Genomic DNA, 18,475 nt, shown 5'->3' on the forward strand with positions numbered 1-18,475 from the left:
ACCGGCTGTGCTCCAGTCCTGGCTGGGTGACTTGGGTGATTGCTGAGCCCCTCTGGGCCTGGCCAAGGTGTCTGTCTGCTCCTCGCAGTAACCACACGAGGTGACTGTCATTATTCTCACTCCCAGAGGAGGACAGCGGGCTGTGTTATCAGCCTTGCTCTGACCATGGTGTTCTGTAGGGAAGGCTCATTTTGTCCCATAGCCTGGAGCGGCCTCAGAGCCCTTTCCTGTCCCTGAGGATGTGGGGTTTATTCCTGACACAGCCACTGTGGAGCTGGACAGTCCAGGCCTGGCTTGCAGCGGCCCTTTCCCTGCATCTGCAGCTCCCCCGTGAGGATGGTGCTCCACCCTGGCCCTCCTGTGTTTGTTTCTTGCGCTTCCCTTGGAAGCACAGCCCTAGATTCATCCCTGCAGGCGATTCCCCAGGGATGTCAGCCACCTCCGTGGCTGCTGCAAGCAGGAGCTCTCAGTCTGCCCTCACACCCCACCCCAGCAGCCTGCAGGGCACCACCCTGCTCGGGAAGGTCCTGGTTCTCAGTCATGTTTGCCAAGCGATGTGGTGTAAATACTCCCACTGCTGCTGAGTTCAGGCTGCCAAGGTGAAGTCCTCCAGCTCACACAACTGCTGGAAACTTAGCAGTAGGCTCATGAGCCGGCTCCAGCACAGCACCGGGCTCCGAGGAAATCCTGTGCCACCCGCCAGTCCTTGTCCTTCCTGTCCTGTCCTGTGTGCTTTGACACAGGAGATTGCTCTCTCCACCAGGAAATGCTTTTCTTCACTCACCAGCAGCCTCCCTCCTGGCTGCGCCTTTCAAGTCCCCATGCTGGTCCCTCATCTCCCCAGCTCTTGGTGGTATAGCGTGTCCATGCACTGTCCTCCCACCTCGGCAACCTCGTGGGGCTCGGCTGTATACACCGTCCTGCTCGTATACACTACCCCACCCATGTATACCATCCCCCCGTGTATACCATCCCCCTCATGTACACCATCCCGCTGTGTACACCATCCCGCTGTGTACACCATCCCCCTCATGTACACCATCCCCCTCATGTACACCATCCCCCGTGTACACCATCCCCCCCATGTACACCATCCCCCCTATGTACACCATCCCCCTCATGTACACCGTCCCCACCATGTACATCATCCCCCCATGTACACCGTCCCCACCATGTACACCATCCCCCCATGTACACCGTCCCCACCATGTACACCATCCCCCCGTGTACATCATCCCCTTGTATACACCACCCCACCCGTGTATACCGTCCCCCCATGTACACCATCCCCTCGTGTACACCATTCCCCCGTGTACACCATCCCGCCCATGTACACCATCTCACCCATGTACACCATCCCCCCGTATGCCCCATCCCCCCGTGTACACCATCCCCCCGTGTACACCATCCCCTCGTGTACACCATCCGCCTGTATGCCCCATCCCCCCACCGTGTACACCATCCCGCCCGTGTACACCACCCCACCTGTATACACCACCCCGCCTGTATACCCCATCTCGCCCATGCTCCCAAGTCTCCTCCGTGAGCGCTAGGCCTACTAAGTAGCCACCTGAGTCACCAGTTCCACTGGGCGCCTGACAGACATGTCAGTGGAAGCCACCCCAAACTCAGCTTCTCTCTGGAACTTTTGCAGCTGTTCAGGCACCAAACATTGGAACCACTTTTCATGGTTCTGTCTCTGCCCACATGCAACCACCAGTGAGTTCTGGTAACTCCACCTTCAGGAGAGGCTGAGTCCGGCCCTTCCCAGGCCCCTGGCTGGATTATTCCAGCAGCCTCCTTGCCAGGTTCCCGCCTTCCACCCTCCTCACCGGGTTCCCGCCTTCCACCCTCATCACTGGGTTCCTGCCTTCCACCCTCATCACTGGGTTCTTGCCTTCCACCCTCATCACTTCTCTTCACACATCGGCAGAAGGACTCCTTAGAAACACTCTACAGTGCTCCGTCTTTGTTTAAAACCCTTTGACACCTTCCCATAGACCCCAGCCAAAGCCCAAGTCCTCCCTGGGTCTGTAAAGACCTCCGTGATCTGCCCCCACCCCATCCCGCTGACCTCATTTCCCGCATCCCTGCCTCTCCATGGCCTGCTCTAGCTACCTGGAGCTCCTGGCTGTTTCTGGAGCACACAGAAGTGCCCCTGGAATTCTCCCAGCATCCCACATGACTGGCTCCTTCCCCCTGGGTCTGTGCTTACATGCTCCCTGCTCTGACCGTCCCTGACCACCCGATTGAAAATGTCATCCTCCACCCCGGCACTGCCTGCCTGCTGCTCCAGGCACGCCCTCTTCCAGAGCACCCTAGAATCCAGGTGTTGTGGCTCTCCCACTTGACTGTGATCTCCACATGAGCAGGCGTTAGGTGTCTGTTCACTGCTACATCCTGGTGTGTAACAGGCACTTGGCAAACGTGGAGGGAATGAAGGGCTGTTGCCATGTGTGTGTGTTGGCGAGGGGGGTTACGTTTAAGCAGCCACCTGTGTGAGCTCACCTTCATCAGTAGGCAGCGTGACCATCCAGGCAGGTATGAGATAGCCACTCTGGCAAGGACGGCCTTCACAGAAGGGACTCGAGGTGGGGACTGAGGGGAGGGTCCCATAGGCCAGCTGCGGAATTAGGACACCTGCCCCCACAGCTTACCCTGGCCAGGGTGTTGAAGGCTGCAGGTCATGATGTCTTGGTGCAGAAGGAGAAAAGGAGACCTGGGCTATGTGTTCTCTTTTGAAAAGATAGTAATCTTATGTTACATGGTTCTCCCACCTTCTTGAAACAAACACACAAACAGCTCATGTTTTTTCAACAAGGATGAATTGAGCAAGTTGGAGGTGGGAGGCCATGGGCTGGCCCTGGGGAGCCCTGGTGCCCAGGCCCTGCAGTTCCAGCGCCATGCAGCCTCTGGTCTCATGAAGACGACCTTGGCCTGTTAGCTGCCCCCCACCCCCGCAGGGACTTGGCTGGGAGGGCAGGTGCTAAAAGTGTCTGCCGTGTGGAGGCAGGAAGGCTGCTCAGAGGATGGGCTTTCCCGCTGAAAGCAGAGGGTGGGCTGCTGTCTGGGATGAGCCCAGCAGTTTGGAAGAGTGTGAGGGAGATGAACGGTCTCAGGGAGGAAGTCCGGTTGCTGTTCTGGAGCTGAGACAGAGCCCAGAGCCTTCTGTGTGAACAGGGAGAGAGCCAGGACAGAGCCCGGACAGAGCCCTCCCTTCTGCTCGGTGGGCAGGCATTGGCAGACACCCAGGGCTTCCTTGTAGGCATGCAGGCCGTTGGCTGCCAGCCCTGCCCTCTGCAGGCAGCACCTCTGGCTGGTGGCAGAGTTCATTCAGCCCCTGGGCACGTCCCCGGGTGTGTCTCCGGGCCAGATGGGGCTGCACAGTTCTGCATTAGCTTAGGAAGTTGGTTTTCAAGACATTGATGCTTCCTTTTGTCTGTAACAGTCATTTCTATTTTAATAGAAAATAAGATCTGTGAATTAGAATTTTTTCCTGGTCAATTGCACCCCATTCGAACCTTTCCTTTTCATTTTTCATTATGGCAATTGTACATTCACCTAGTTCTCAGTTCAGATGGAGCACATACTTTTTGGAGAATTTCTGTCAAATATGCTAGAGTGTTGATTCTGCTGATGCCTGCTTTCAATGTGAGTGATGCCAGGAGTAACTGTTTTTCTCCCCACCTGGCTGTGGTGCTCCCAGTCCTTGAACACTGCGCTGAAGCACCTGTGCGAGATCCTCACGGACGATCCGGAGGGCGGGCCCGCTCGCATCCCCTTCAAGACGTTTTCCTACGTTTACCGCTACTTGGCCAGATTAGACTCAGATGTGTCTCCCTTGGAGACGGAATCCTACCTTGCCTCTCTAAAGGAAAATATGTAAGTATGCACCCTCTCTAGGATTCAGGTATGTTGACCATGGGAGAATTTCCTGTTTCACTTCCCCCTTGTAGGGAAAAACTCAGTTTTTCCTTTGCTCTCTCACCACAACAATAATCAACACAGAAGACTGCTATGATCAAATGTGTGGAGGTTTTTCCTCACCAAAAAGCAAGCAAGTGGTCCTGCAGCAGACACCAGCTGTGCATTCTCATTCCGTCTCTACCCTGTCTACCTGGAGATAGCCTGAGATCCCACAGGTTGAGGGTTCAGTCCCCAAGACTGCCCCCACCCTGCCCCATTTCTGATGCTAGTTGCAAGCCCCAGGTTATTTTGCCTGTGCTTCTGACCGACTGGCTCTAAATCAGGGTTCCCACAACCCCTCCTTGGGTCAATTAATTTGCTAGAATGGTTCACAGAACTCAGGGAAACACTCATGTTTACTATTTGATTACAAAGGATATTTTAAAGGCTACCAACAGTCAGAGGAAGACAGACAAAGGGCAAGGTCTGGAAGGGTCTGGAGCATGGGGGCTTTTGCCCCCATGGAGTTGAGGTACATCCCCTCCCTGCCCGCAAATGAGCTCTTGTTCACCTTCCTGTTGGTCTCGATGTGTTTAGCTTCCGGGAAACTTTCTAAGCCCTGTCCTTTTAGGGTTTCTTTTTCCTGGAAGCTTTGTGATTGATTAAATCATTGGCCAATAGTGATCACCTAAGCCATCAGCCCCTCTCCCCACCTCCAAGGTTGGGCTGGGCTGAAAGTCCCACCCCTCTAATCCTGCCTTGGGCTCTCCAGTGACCAGCCCCATCCTGAAGCTACCTGGGCCATCAGCCAATCACAAGCATAAAGAAAGAACTCACTTTGGAGATTCCACAGATTTTACTTGTATGCCAGGAGCGGGGGTTGAAGACCAAATATATATTTCACAATATCACATCCCTTGTCTGCAATAACTTTGTCCCAACGAATCCCGTGTTTGGCAGAAGGTTTAGGCACACCTGATAGTATTCAGGGTGTGTGTAAGTGGAGCCGCAGATCAAAGGCCATCAGCGAAAGCAAGCAGCACCTCAGAAGGGAGCCCGACCTCTCCCGTGGCTCCCACCCATGTGGGCTGAGGCTCAGGTTTTTTTAGACTTTAGAGGGAGAGAATGTATCTTGTCATTAAGACTCATTTATCCCAGATCTATCCTGATTCCTATGTACAGCATGTCAGGTGGTACTAAATTGTAGCATGTTAAAAAGTGAGATAGAGGCTGGGCACGGTGCCTCACGCCTGTAATCCCAGCACTTTGGGAGTCCGAGGCAGGTGGATCACTTGAGATCAGGAGTTCGAGACCAGCCTGGCCAATATGGCAAAACTCCATCTCTACTAAAAAAATAACCAGGTGTGGTGGTGGGTGCCTGTAATCCCAGCTACTCAGGAGGCTGAGGCAAGAGAATCTCTTGAGCCCTGGGGGGGCAGAGGTTACAGTGACCCGAGATTGTGCCATTCCACTTCAGCCTGAGCAACAAGATCGAGACTCCGTCTCAAATAATAACAACAATAATAATAATAATAATAATAATAACTTAAAAAGTGAGATAGAATTCATTTCTCCACAATGAAACGTAGACATGGATTACTGCTGGTGGACCTCCTGACAGTAGTGCCACGGATGCAGGATCATTTGCAGAAACTTGAGGATGTCATTGACATCAGCCACGCAATTCTCACTCTGATGAACTTGCTATATGACCCCGACACATTGCATGTTATGTTGTATTTGCACCAGGCTGCATGTGATGTAAGGCTGGTTCTGCTCTGAAGCATGACTTGGAGCTAACGTTGGAATATATTGTCCAGTGTTCTGATCACCTGTAACATTTTTAAACAAGATTAATGAATCCTCCCTTTAAAGACAAGATGCAGAGTAAAAAGGAACAAAGCTCTTGGGTCCTGCGGAAGTTCTCATTTGTTCATTCCCTAAACCATCATTGGGTGCTGACTCTGCACCCTGCACTACCTATGGGGAGGCAGAGAGAGCAGCCCAGGGCTGGTGGGGTGGGCAGAGGTGGTGGTGACAACCGCAGGGTCCGGGGAGCTGTGGTGCTGCAGAGTAAGCCTGGTTAACAGCAAGAAAGGGCCTTCTAGGTGCAAGGGCAGGAAAGGGCCCAGGTCCTCCAGGCTCCAGCCCCAAGGGAGATGGGGTCCCTGAGGTCTTCCCGGCACTTCCCCTTGGGACCACTGCCCCCCAAGTGCTGGTTATGGTTTGTCCCTGAGCCCCACACCTCTCATCTCGAATTGCCCACAGTACAGTTTATTGAGCACCTGCTCTGTGCCAGGCATTGGCGCAGGTGCCGGGGATGTAGTCAGTGAACAGGTCACGCCCTGACCCCTGGAGTTTTGCCCTGTGGAGCAGACAGACATCAGACAAGCAGATTTTAAGACAGTAGGTCATGTTCAGTGCCAAGAGGACAGTAAGCCAGGGATAGGGACCAATGGGGGCTGGTCCCAGGGCCGCCTTCTGGCACAGCACACACCCCTGCTCGCCTCAGCCTCCTGAGAAGCCCCCTGGCCTGTCATCACCACCCAGAGTCTTGTCCCCTCCTCCCACCCTTTCCAACCGGCCATGATGCCACCTAGGATGCAGGCCACAGCACCAGGAGCTGGCGCTCAAGTGATCCGCCAGCCTCCGCCTCCCTTCCTGTGCCAGTGGAGCCTGCGTTCTGTGCCCTGCCCCACCTGTCCCAGCCGTCCTCGTCTCCTTGTCCCTTCCACATCGTTTCCTCTCCTTCCTTCAAACTCACATCCCCTCTGCCCACCATGGGCTGAGCCTCTGGACTCCATGGTCCCTCTTTTTCCTCCTTCCTCTGTCATCCACTGTCACTCCAACCCTCCTGTCCTCGTGGAAGACCGCAGCTCCCAAGCCATCCCTTCTGTCCGCCTTATTCTTGACACCATCCTGGCTGGTGTCTGCAGTCACATGGACGACACAGTACTTTGTCCCCAGCTCTCCTCCTGGTGCCCACAGCCTCTGCTTCTGCACCGCCATCCGGGTCATGCTGGGCCCCTTCTCCTGCCCGATCCGCGCACCTCTTCTCTTCTTTTGTGCTCTCTGATGCGGCTACTCCGCCTGACAGAGCCACCTGGGACATGGGTGGTTCCATCTCATTCCAAATCCATGTCCCAAGCCTCCAAAGAACTGGGACCCTGTGCAGCAGCCACTTCTCCCACCACTTTCCTGAGATCACAAGTCATCAAAAAAGAAAAACCTATGCATATAGCACCCATCTTTTCACCTAGAAATAAAGCTACATTTATTATACGTTTTGGTGCACTTTGCACAAGAAAATAGAATGCTTTATTTTTGGAAGTAAGAATTACTGATGAGCAACCATAAATAGTTTTTAAAAGTAGACCTTTTAAATTATATCGCATTTTATAAAAATGTTACTAAGTATATGATGAGAAATTACCAATAAATATCTTTATCTGTTTCCAATTTAGAGACGCCAGGAAGAACGGCATGATAGGTCTTTCAGATTTCTTCTTTCCAAAGAGGAAACTTTTAGAAAGCATTGAAAACTCTGAAGATGTAGGCCATTAATACAGAGAAGAATACATTTTAATGTCAAAATAGTGCTCTTTAAAATTCTGGCACCAAATACAACTTACCCTGAATCACACACCTCTGTAGTGTGAGTGTTTCTCTAAATGGGAATTTAGTGTGACTGCTTCGTGGGGCCTGATTCATGATTGCTTTTCACTGTGTCTTTTAGGGACCTTAAGTGTAAGAAGTTGATAACAGTAAAATGATCTCTTTTAAGAAAATAATCTATTTGGAGACTGCAGAGTCAGAAGTGGGGCTGGGCAGTTTGAAAAGTGGCTTTTTGGGCCGGGCGCGTTGGCTCACGCCTGTAATCCCAGTGCTTTGAGAGGCCGAGGCGGGTGGATTACGAGGTCGGGAGATCGAGACCATTCTGGCTAACACGGTGAAACCCCGTCTCTACTAAAAATACAAAAAAATTAGCCAGGCGTGGTAGCGGGTGCTGTAGTCCCAGCTACTTGGGAGGCTGAGGCAGGAGAATGGTGTGAACCTGGGAGGCAGAGCTTGCAGTGAGCCGAGATCGCGCCACTGCACTCCAGCCTGGGCGACAGAGCGAGACTCCGTCTCAAAAAAAAACAAAAACAAAAACACAAACGAACAAACAAAAAAAGGGGCTTTTTGGTCAGGCGCAGTGGCTCACACCTGTAATCCCAGCACTTTGGGAGGCTAAGGTGGGAGGATCACTTGAGTCAGTAGTTTGAGAGCAGCCTGGCTAACATGGTGAAACCCCGTCTCTACTAGAAATAATAAAAAAATTAGCCAGGCGTGGCGGTGGGCACCTGTAATCCCAGCTACTCAGGAGGCTGAGGCAGGAGAATCTCTTGAATCTGGGAGGCGGAGGTTGTAGTGAGCCGAGATCGCGCCACTGCACTAGAGCGAGACTCCATCTAAAAATAAAAAAAAACAAAGTGGCTTTTCTTCTTCTTGACTCCAAGCTGGTGGAGGGGCTCGCCCTTTGCTCCCTGCCTACCCCTCCTAAGACTCCCTGGGAAGGGCATTGGCAGCTGAGGCTGCATCTTTTCTATGAAAGGTGGACCCCAGGGACCCTGCTGCCTGGCCTAGCGTCCGTGGCTGGGGGAAATGTACTGGACAGCAGCGTGATCCACTTGAATGGAAATAAGCATCCAAGATCCTTTATTTGCTTTCCTTTTATAAAGTTTTCGAAAAGGCCAATACCAATGAATACATTTCAGGTTAGCTTCCAGGCCAGGGCTCAGGCCCTGGAGAAAACTCGTGCGAATGCCTGTCTGGGGGGCCCAAGGAGCGAGTGTGGGCCCCTCTAAAACTTAGAGGGACAGATTACATGACGACTTTGGGGACAGCTTGCTAAGTGTCCATTTGGCAGCATCTGGGATGAGACGTGCTTTCACTGTGACTATCTTGTTGGGAGGTGATGGGGAGGGGAAATGAAGCCCCTGCCTCCTCTAACCCTGGAGGCTGCCCACGTTTACCAAGAGAATCTCACCCAATGCTGACCAGCTCAGCGTGCAACACAGCATCACTGGGCTCAAGAAAAGACATTTGAAGACGAGTTTTGTAAGCCCGAGCATAGGTGAATATCACCGTAAATAAACTCCAACGTGAAAATCTGAATGTATAAAGCATAAATCAGGAACAGCTTTTCACTCAATCAAAAAGGCATGTGGTGTTTCAGTAATAAAAAGCATGAAGTGTGGAGACGCGCGGCAGCATGGGTGTGATGAGGCCCGTCCCTGCTGGTGAACAAGTCCTGGCCTTTGTCCCTTGAAAAGGCTTTTGTCTCAAAAAGTGGGTTTTCTTGGGAATGACTTGGTCATAGAAGGAGAAATAGCATTCTGTATGAATCGGTGAGGGCTGCCAGAACGAAGCACCGGAGACCCAGTGCTTACGTAGCAGAAACACTTCCTCACTGTTTCGGAAGCAGAAGTCCAAGGTGAAGGTGTTGGCAGGGCTGGTTTCTCCGGAGGCCTCTCTCCGTGGCTTGTGGTTGCTGTCCTCCTCCTGGGTCCTCACATGGTCTTCCCTTGTGCCTCTCCGTGTCCTCGTTTCCTCTTCTTATTAGAACACTGGTAATATTGTTTTAGGGCCCATGCTAATGACCTCATGTTAACCTAATTACCTTTTAAAGATCCTGTCTCCAAATACAATCACAGTCTGAGTTGCTGGGGGTTCCGACTTCACCTTGTCAATTTTGTTGGTGGGGACTCAAGTTCCTCCGCGCCACATTACTTCTCCCAGCCCTCAGAATGGTTTTAGCCTGACTTGGCAAGTGAGGGCTCTGAAGTTCAAACAGATTTTCCCATAGAAACATGCACTGGCTCTACAGGTATAAAAAGAAATGTAAATAGAAAAAAAAAAAAACCAGAAACAAAACAAAACAAAACACAAACTGGCCTTGTCTAGTTGACACAAAACCAAAAAGTATGTGAGACAGATCTCAATCAACTTCGAAGTTTATTTTGCCAAGGTTAAGGACGTGCCTGGAAGAACAAAACCACGGGATCACAGAGGCAGTCTGTGGTCTGTGCCTTTCTCCAAGGGTGATTTCCAGGGCTTCACTGTTGAAAGGGGAGAAGCGGTCTGGAGGCGGGAGGGGAGGATGTGGTCATTACTGAATCCACAGGCTGCAAGGGAAAAGTTGCAGACAGGGAATCGTCAGTTATGTATCTTATGGTCTCGTGCTCAGTAAATCTGCGCTTCACCCAAGATAAGGTGAACCCAGAGCTGCTACCTGAGGAGATTTTAACTTTTTCTCTGTAGCTCTGTGCTGAGGAGCAAAAGGAAAGGCAGCTTCCTGCATGACTCAGCTTGCAGCTTCATTTGTTTTCCTTCTGGCAGAGTGAACTGGGGTCCCAAGTTTCTTTTTTCCTTTCATGACACCGTCTGAACACCTGTGTCGTCTCAGAGTAGTGACCAAAATGCCAAGGCCTCATTCGGAGGATAAGCACTCATCTGCCCAGCCAGACCCAAGGTTTTCAGAACACTCCTTAGCGTGGACTCTGGGTCTGGAGCAGAGTGGAGGTGGGCACCCAGGTCCCGTCCCCTGAGTGCTGGGCCACTGGCCGGCTCAGCATGAGACTCAGACGCACAGCCCTTAGATCACCCACACATCGGAGTCTCCTGCTTAACGCTCTGTCCCTGTCCCTCCCCCAGCACAGTTGGGGGTCTTCGTCTGGTTCCTGGTCACTCTCGGCTCAGCTCCAGCCCCCAGGGGTTGTCCCTGCCTCACGGTTGACTGTCACCATTGGGGCTCCAAGTGCCCAGAGGCCGAGCTCCATCATGGGTGGAAGATGAGCTAATTTTGTAATTAACAAAACATAAAGGGGGATCACTCTCCATGCCATTTAGTGGGGGAGCTTTAAATATCTTGCTCTAACACCTGATTAATGTGCCATGCTTCTGTGAGCAAAAAGTGGATTGTTTGTGCCTCATAAACCGGATTCCTAATCCCAGAATACTCAGGCAGAGGGCTTCCTCTCATCAAGGAAAACACGTTCCCTATTCTGTTGATTTTGACTCTTCTTGTTACAAGGCTGAATCATCTATGTTCCCCTTCATAGCCTGCAGTTATTTCTTGTTAAAATAGCCATAGGTAGTTGGGCTTTCAGTCAGATTGTTGCTTGTCTTTAGGGGGTAACTCAAATGGTTTATTTAATAACTACAAACTTTATTGCAAATATCATTAACTGGTCAAGATGTTGAATAAAATAAACTGTTCAGGTGGCTGGTGTGTTTGAAGAAAGTAGCTCTGGGAGGAGAACAGCAGAAACTCCCTTGCTGCAATGAACATGGGAGGAGGTGCCTGAGGACCCTAACGGGATTGATAGGGGCTCCAGTACAATAATGGGAGATTTGCTATCACGTGGAGAGGAGGCCACATCTGGATTTAGCACCTCAAGAGTCAAAGACAATTTTTCCAATTGAAGTCACTTTAAAAATAAACTTTGGGCTGGGCGCAATGGCTCACGCCTCTAATCCCAGCACTTTGGGAGGCCAAGGTGGGTGGATTACGAGGTCAGGAGATCGAGACCATCCTGGCTAACACGGTGAAACCCCGTCTCTACTAAAAATACAAAAAATTAGCCGGGCGTGGTGGCAGGCGCCTGTAGTCCCAGCTACTTGGGAGGCTGAGGCAGGAGAATGGCGTGAACCTGGGAGGCGGAGCTTGCAATGAGCCGAGATCGTGCCACTGCACTCCAGCCTGGGCGACAGAGCAACTTTCTTTAAAAAAATAAAAATTAAATAAACTCTGAAGATGATGGAGCGTTTGCTGGCACTGTGGCTCATGCCTTAATCCTAGCACTTCTGGAGGCCAAGGTGGGAGGATTGTTTGAGCCCAGGAGTTTGAGACCAGCCCTAGCAATGGAGTGAGACCTTTTCTCTACAAAAAAATTAAAAAAAAAAAAAAAAATCAGCTGGAAGTGGTGGCATACGCCTGTGGTCCCAGCTACCTGGGAGGCCAAGGTGGGAGGATAGCTTGAGCCCAGGAAGTTGAGGCCACAGTGAGCTATGATTGCATCACTGCACTCCAGCCTGGGCGATAGAGTGAGATCCCGTCTCAAAAAAAGAAAAAAAAGTTCCTGGCATTCATACGGTGTGACTTTGAAAAACACCTGCTTTTCCTTAATTGCAGTGTGGGGAGGGGGGTGGTGGGAAGCAGAATTGAAAAAGCTACAAGATGCAGATGAGTGGACAGTGGTTTTATCTTATGACTTAAAGAATGCTCTGTCCCATTGAAATATGTGTCTTAAGTCTTTGTCCAGGCAGCAACGAGTGGCTTATTTGGTTTCAAGCTAACTTTATTTGTTGGCTTCTGTATTTTTCATCTCTAAAGAAAGTGGAGTATATTTCTTCTGTTGGTTTATGAGGTATAGGAAAAGAATGAAAGCAGGGATGACTCCAGAAATACGTGCTTACCCAGCATGGTGGAGTTCTGAGGTGGCTGGGCAGGGCCAATGATTTGCTTTTGAAATGATTGTGCTAAGAGTCACACATTGAATTTACGATTAGTTGTTATTTCTTGGCAATCACTAACATACTTGTGAATTCTCATTGTGTGAGAGAATCTAACTTACAAATCGTTTTCAAATGTAGTGAGATTTTTATGTATACTAAATTTAGCAATTAATGAGGAATGAACACAGAAATTAATCATTTATTGAGTCTGATTTTGCTATTTCCGTAATTTGCAGCCAATAATTTTTTTCAAGTCTTAAACATTCTCAGAGGTCGATGAAACCCTTGTCAGCCTGCGGCTTTGTGCCTTAGCATCTCAAGAATGAAATGTGTTCAGGTCCCCCGTCCTCCAAGGAAAATCCCAACTCTATTATGTTGCTTTGTACAATTTGTACAATTGTACAATCCCCTGGTTATTGAAGGGGATCCCCACCAGGACCCCATGAAGTGGACAGAAGTAGGATTAACCCCCTTTAGAGGGGACTGGCCTAGAACTAAGATGCCAGGGGCAGCCAGGTCCTCCTTCTGCCCAGGGTCCAGGCCCACCCACCTGGCCTCACACTCCTGTCCCTCTCAACTCTTCCATCCAACAGCATTCCCCGTATCTGTCCCATTTCCCCGTTCTGGCTTTTGGTAAGGCCAGAAGCCCCCACAGGTGAAAGAAACTGGATAGGTGGGGTTGGGTTGATGTCCACTGTTTCCTGGAACCTTCATGCTTTCCCCGAGGTTGGAGCAGGGATCCCACGCTTTCCTGTGCTGAGTTGGAGCCAGTTGGCCTGGGATATGGAATGGCTTTCTGGGCACATGTCCCACCTCAAACCCCAGTCCCATTCTTGAATCTCACGTAAAGTATTAGCAGGGCGTGATCAGGAGAGCCACACAGCATCCATGAAGTGCCCTGGCCGTGGGGCCTCGGGGCCGGAAGGACATTTGGGTTGGGATAATATTCGGGCTTAGGTGAAAATGCATTTACCCAGCACCTGCTAAGGGCTGGCCCCCCTGCCACGTACGGGTTTTGCAGCTAATTAAGTTCTCATCCCAGTGGCAGGGAAGGCTGCTGTCATTACCCCTGTGTTATGGAGGCACACTTCCTTGTCCAAAGTCCCCCGGGTGGAAAGGCAGGGACTGTTACTGGGTCCTGGCAGTCCGACTCCAGAGCCTTGGAGCCCAACTCCAAAGGAAAGGTGAAGAGTAAAGTGGCTCTTGGGGAGGGGACAGTGATGAGTGGGAGAATTTGTTCCTTGATTCTCTTTTCTTTTCTTTTTTCTTTTTTGAGATGAAGTCTCACTCCATTGCCCAGGCTGGAGTGCAGTAGTGTGATTTTGGTTCACCTCAACCTCTGTCTCCCAGGTTCAAGAGATTCTCCTGCCTCAGCTTCCCGAGTAGCTGGTACCACAGGCACAAGCCACCACTGCTGGCTAATTTTTTGTACTTTTTTTTTTTTTAGTAGACACGGAGTTTCACCATGTTGGCCAGGCTGGTCACAAACTCCTGACCTCAAGTGATCCGCCTGCCTTGGCCTCCCAAAGTGCTGGGATGACAGGCGTGAGCCACCATGTCTGATCCGTCCTTGATTTTCAATTGGGGAAGTGTGTAGGTGGGGCGGCCTGTTAGGAATACTGGAACAGGGTTTTCGAAGAAGGTTTCAAGGAGACTGCTTACTAAGATATGGGGAGGGCTGAGGGGAGCCCACAAGGGAGGGTGCAGGCCCCTGGGCTGGCTGCGGTGGGGTTTTATGTCCCGCAGCCTGAAAGTGCAGGAGAAGCTGTTGCGGGGATCCACAGAGATGGCAGGGCTGAGGAGAGGGCTCTTGGTGAGAGCTGTGGCTTTAGTACAGGGGTAGCCACCCCCCACATCCCCCCAGGGAGGTGACTGGGGGATAAATACCCTCCTTCCATTTGTCTTCCATCCTGGGATCTTCCATCAGGGTCTTGTCCTGGCTGAGCACAACCAGAATCTGGAGAGAAGAAAGCCTCATGATACACAGGTCAGCTATGCTGGGCTCAGAGCATGGAAGAGCCAGGAGAGGCTAAAGGAATGTGCTAGACAAAGAAGTTTGAAATATCCAGCACACGGCCATTCGATGAAGACATGGTGGGGTCCAGCACACGGCCATTCGACCATTTGGGTGAAGATGCGGTGGGGGAGACTCATACCTCCACATATTCATATGCATGCTCACAGTGCATACGTTGTTTCTGGAATGATACACAGAAAAAACTGGTAGAAACCTCCAAGGAGGAGAAGTTGGGAGGAAGGCTGCCTGTGTCTCATTGTATAACTTTTTTCTACCATTTGATTTTCACTTGTGCATTTATTATGTATTAAGTCCACCCATCAACCGTGCATTTATTATGTATTAAGTCCACCCATCAACCATGCATTTATTATGTATTAAGTCCACCCATCAACCAATCATGAAAAAGAATTGGTGTCTGAGTTCTTTGGGCTTGGAGTGTAGCCAACAGGGAATGCTTGTGATCTAGGCTGGGCCCATCACAGTGCTCCCCTCCTGGCCAAAGTGATTTGCCCAAGAGAGTTGGCACATGACCTGCACTTGACGGATGAGAGCCTTCTCTGGGTTTTTCGGCTTGGTGCTGGGAGAGAGAGGCCCTTTTCTTCTTCCTTTGATTAAAAAGCTTATTAGGATATGGGTCTAGAGTTGTAGGTGCTAGTAGTCACTAACATACGTGACACTGTTATGTTGAAACATGTTAGCTACTGATAATCTCAAATTTTCATCCCCCAAACAGCAATTTCATCTAGCTCAACCCCATACGTGCCAGGCCTCAAGGAGAGTGGATTATACAGGGCGTGTTCACCAGGAGGGTGGGGATTTGGGGGCCATCTTAGAATTCAGCCTGTTTTCCACACGCTAACTCATTTACTCTTCATAACCATGTTATCAAGTGGAAATTATTGTTATTAACCTCATAGCCATTATAGATAGGTGAAGAGAAAGAGAGATTAATTAAGTTCCTAGTCCAACACCACACAGTGGTCCTGCTTGCCCTGCTCTCCCAGTCTGCTGTGAGCCCAGCATGGAGCCTGTCTACACTAACGGGGTGAGGAGGAGAGGAAGGCAGAGTGCCAGGGTTCCCAGGGGCTAGGATCATGGTTCTTCTCCTCTCTAAGGCCAGCACCACCTCAGCTCAGCTCTCAATTTAGTTAGACCCAGCAGGCAAGTCCCCCTCCAGGCTTACACAATATCAGGGTGAATACCTGGCCTTTGCAATTGATTTGACCTGACTTTGAAATCAGCCTTTTCCCTGGTTGTAGTCAGTTGAATAGTGAGTGACTCCCAGAAAGATATGTCCATGTCTCAACTCTGGAACTTACAAATGTGGCCTTGTTTGGAAAAAGGGTCTTTGTAGATGTCGTTAATTTAAGGATCACAAGATGTGAGCATCCTGGATTTAGGGTGGACCCTAAATCCAATAACTGGTGCCCTTAAAAGAGAAAGGCAGAGGGGAGTTTGAGACACCAATGCAGGGGAGAACACCATGTGAAGACAGAGACAGAGATTGGAGGAATGCTGCCATCACTAAGGAGTGCTTGGAGCCACCAGAAGTTGGAGGAAGCAAGGAAGGATTCCCTCCTAAAAGCTTCAGAGGGAGCAGGGTCCTGCCGATACCTTGATTTTGGACTTACGGTCCCCAGAACTGTGAGACAAGAAATTGTTGCTGTTTGAAGCCACCAAGTTTGTGGTAATGTGTTTCAACAACCCTAGGAAATGAGCACACTTATTACCTCTTTTCTTGCAAACCAAGTCCAAAGGGGACACCAGAAATGGGACAGAGCCCTGAAGCAAGACCTGGGTTTGGTTTTCTTTTGATTCCGAAAATAACAGCCCTTTAAGGAATCAAGAGGTTGGGGAGAGGTTGAGGCTGAAGAAAGTTGAAGAACTGAAAGAATCTTGGCTCATTTGGAGGATAAGAGAGAGTTCTAGAATGGAGAGAAGATAGACCTGCTCTAGAAAAATTTTCTGGCTGGGCGCAATGGTTCATGCCTGTAATCCCAACACTTTAGGAGGCTGAGGCAGGTGGATCTCCTGAGTGCAGGAGTTCGAGACCACCCTGGGTTACATGGCAAATCCCCGTCTCTACTAAAATACAAAAAATTAGCTGGGCGTGGTGGCGCACACCTGTGGTCCCAGCTACTCAGGAGGCTGAGGCACAAAAATCGCTTGAGCCCCGGAGGTGGAGGTTGCAATGAGCTGAGATTGCACCACTGCACTCCAGCTTGGGCTACAGAGTGAGACTGTGTCTCAAAAAAAGGAAAAAAAAAAAAAAAAGGAAAATTTTCTAATTTCCACAGGTTTTCAATGAGTTTCTGCTGCAGACAGAATCCTAAGGTGGCTTTCAAGATTCCGTCCACTGGCAGACACGCCCCATTGAATCTCCTTCCTTGAGTGTAGGTAGGTCTGTGTATAGTCAGGTACACAGCGGGACAGTACATGGTGGGACAATTACCCCCTCGATTGTGGTCTGTGACATGACTCAGCAGTAGCAGACTAGAGAGGGGTTCTCACACTGGCTTTGAAGACATAAGCTGTCACTGCGAGGGCACCAGGTGCTGAGGACATGAGGATGGCCTCTAGGATTTGACAGTGACCTCCAGCCGACTACCAGCCAAAAAACGAGACCTCAGCTCTACACTGCCAGGAGCTGAATTCTGCCAATGACCTGGATGAGTTGGAAGCGAACCTAGAGCCTCTGTTGAGATTGCAGCCTCGGCCCACGCCATGATGAGGTTTCTTGCCAGGTGAACAGAGGACTCAGCCAAGCTGGGCTTGGACGCTCCACCCATGGAGAAGGTCAGATGATGAATATGGATCATGTTGCTAAGTTTACGATACTTTGTTATAGAACAATAGAAAAGGAATGCAGTTTCTGACCAAAGTTCCTCCCAAATTGTAACTGAATAGGAGCGGCTGAGCTTGAGCCTTGATTTTGTGCTTTTTTGCTGATTTGGTGGTTTTTTATGACCAAGTATTAAAAATGGGTGTATATTTTAAAGTCATGTTTTGAGACAAATCACACAGTTAAAAAAACAAGTTTAAAAGTCTCTAAAGAAAATAGAGAACAGATGGGCAAAAGTTGATCAGTGGTTAAACATAAATGTGTTCCAGATGGGAATGGAAATTGCTTGCTTATTATTGTTGGTGTGGCCAGCAGCTCCCTTCAGAAGCCTCTCAGGTGGCTTTGTAGCAGAAAACCTCCAGAAAGACATCTTTCCAGGGACGCCTTTCCCTGGTGCCATCTAGATGGCAGACTTCTAGCAAGTTCCGCTAGCAGGGCACCACAGCCACTTCTCTGCAGTTCTACAAGCCACAGTCACACCCTCTTCAACAAGACCTGGATCTCAGCTCAGGGCAAGGGGATTTCTCTGGGTGTACCATTCCAGTCCTTGGGGTAATGGCTGTTATTCATATCTGCTATTCATATATTCTGTAAAATTATCTTTACTTCTTGCCAGCCAGTTCCTCGTACCCCGACCCTATTGTCCTTACTGATTATTTATATAAAACTTTCCCTGTTCAAATCACTCTGTGGTTTCTCTCTCCTGATTGGACCCAGACTGATGCACTGTTCCCAGCAGCAAGTAGCACTATGTGCCAAGCACCAGGTGATAATTTCAGAGAGCTGAAGTGACATAGGCCTGTCTCCAAAGAGTAAACATAATGCCCACTTCAACACTTGAGAAAAGAAGGGAGAAGTATAAAATAAAATATAAAAATAAATAAAAAATAATGCCCAAGTTAAGCAGACAGAGCATGGGGCAACAGGGTAAGAGACTGGGTTCCAGACCTGATTCTGCAACTAAGTATGGGATTTGGGGAGGATTGTCCCATCGCTCTGTTTCCTCTTCTGTAAACTACAGAAAGTAATGGACTCAGAGGCTTTCTATTAGAGTAAAGCTAAGCTGCAGTAACAAAGTAACAAATCACACAGTGGCTTAAAGCACGTAGAAGTTTATTTTCTCTCAAATACCAGTCCTCAGATGAAGGGTCCTTGGTGATGGAACTGCTGTGCTCCACATGATCATTCAGGGATCCAGGTCCTGTCCA

At 49.9% G+C, this 18,475-nt stretch overlaps 2 protein-coding genes across 7 annotated transcripts in view, besides 1 other annotated feature; both read left to right on the forward strand.

The window, feature by feature from the left end:
* ROPN1L (rhophilin associated tail protein 1 like) overlaps positions 1-18,475 on the forward strand; it is a 40,929-nt gene that overhangs the window by 15,599 nt on the left and 6,855 nt on the right. For 2 of the 6 annotated variants that reach the window (NM_031916.5, NM_001201466.2), the window contains 2 exons: positions 3,707-3,882; positions 7,371-7,549. In NM_031916.5, coding sequence (NP_114122.2) covers positions 3,707-3,882; positions 7,371-7,470 — 276 coding nt within the window. In that variant the 3' untranslated portion in view covers positions 7,471-7,549. Of the gene's footprint in view, positions 1-3,706; positions 3,883-7,370; positions 7,550-14,332; positions 16,675-18,475 lie in introns of those variants that run through there. The other 4 variants (XM_017009947.3, XM_006714504.4, XM_047417808.1 and 1 more) reach the window with 3 other exon arrangements.
* Positions 216-1,075: an enhancer, noted in NCBI's record as "H3K4me1 hESC enhancer chr5:10457805-10458664 (GRCh37/hg19 assembly coordinates)". NCBI's record gives its function as "activates a minimal SCP1, AML or CMV promoter by ChIP-STARR-seq in naive H9 embryonic stem cells {active_cell/tissue: H9 hESC(naive)}" and the evidence as "EXISTENCE:reporter gene assay evidence [ECO:0000049][PMID:30033119]".
* Positions 3,889-7,364, forward strand: LOC124900940 (uncharacterized). The gene has a single exon (XM_047417967.1). It carries the CDS (start codon positions 6,493-6,495, stop codon positions 7,216-7,218), a length of 726 nt encoding a protein of 241 aa, XP_047273923.1. The 5' UTR covers positions 3,889-6,492; the 3' UTR covers positions 7,219-7,364.

The sequence above is a fragment of the Homo sapiens genome, chromosome 5 (genome assembly GCF_000001405.40).
Source record: "Homo sapiens chromosome 5, GRCh38.p14 Primary Assembly".
NCBI lineage: Eukaryota > Metazoa > Chordata > Mammalia > Primates > Hominidae > Homo > Homo sapiens.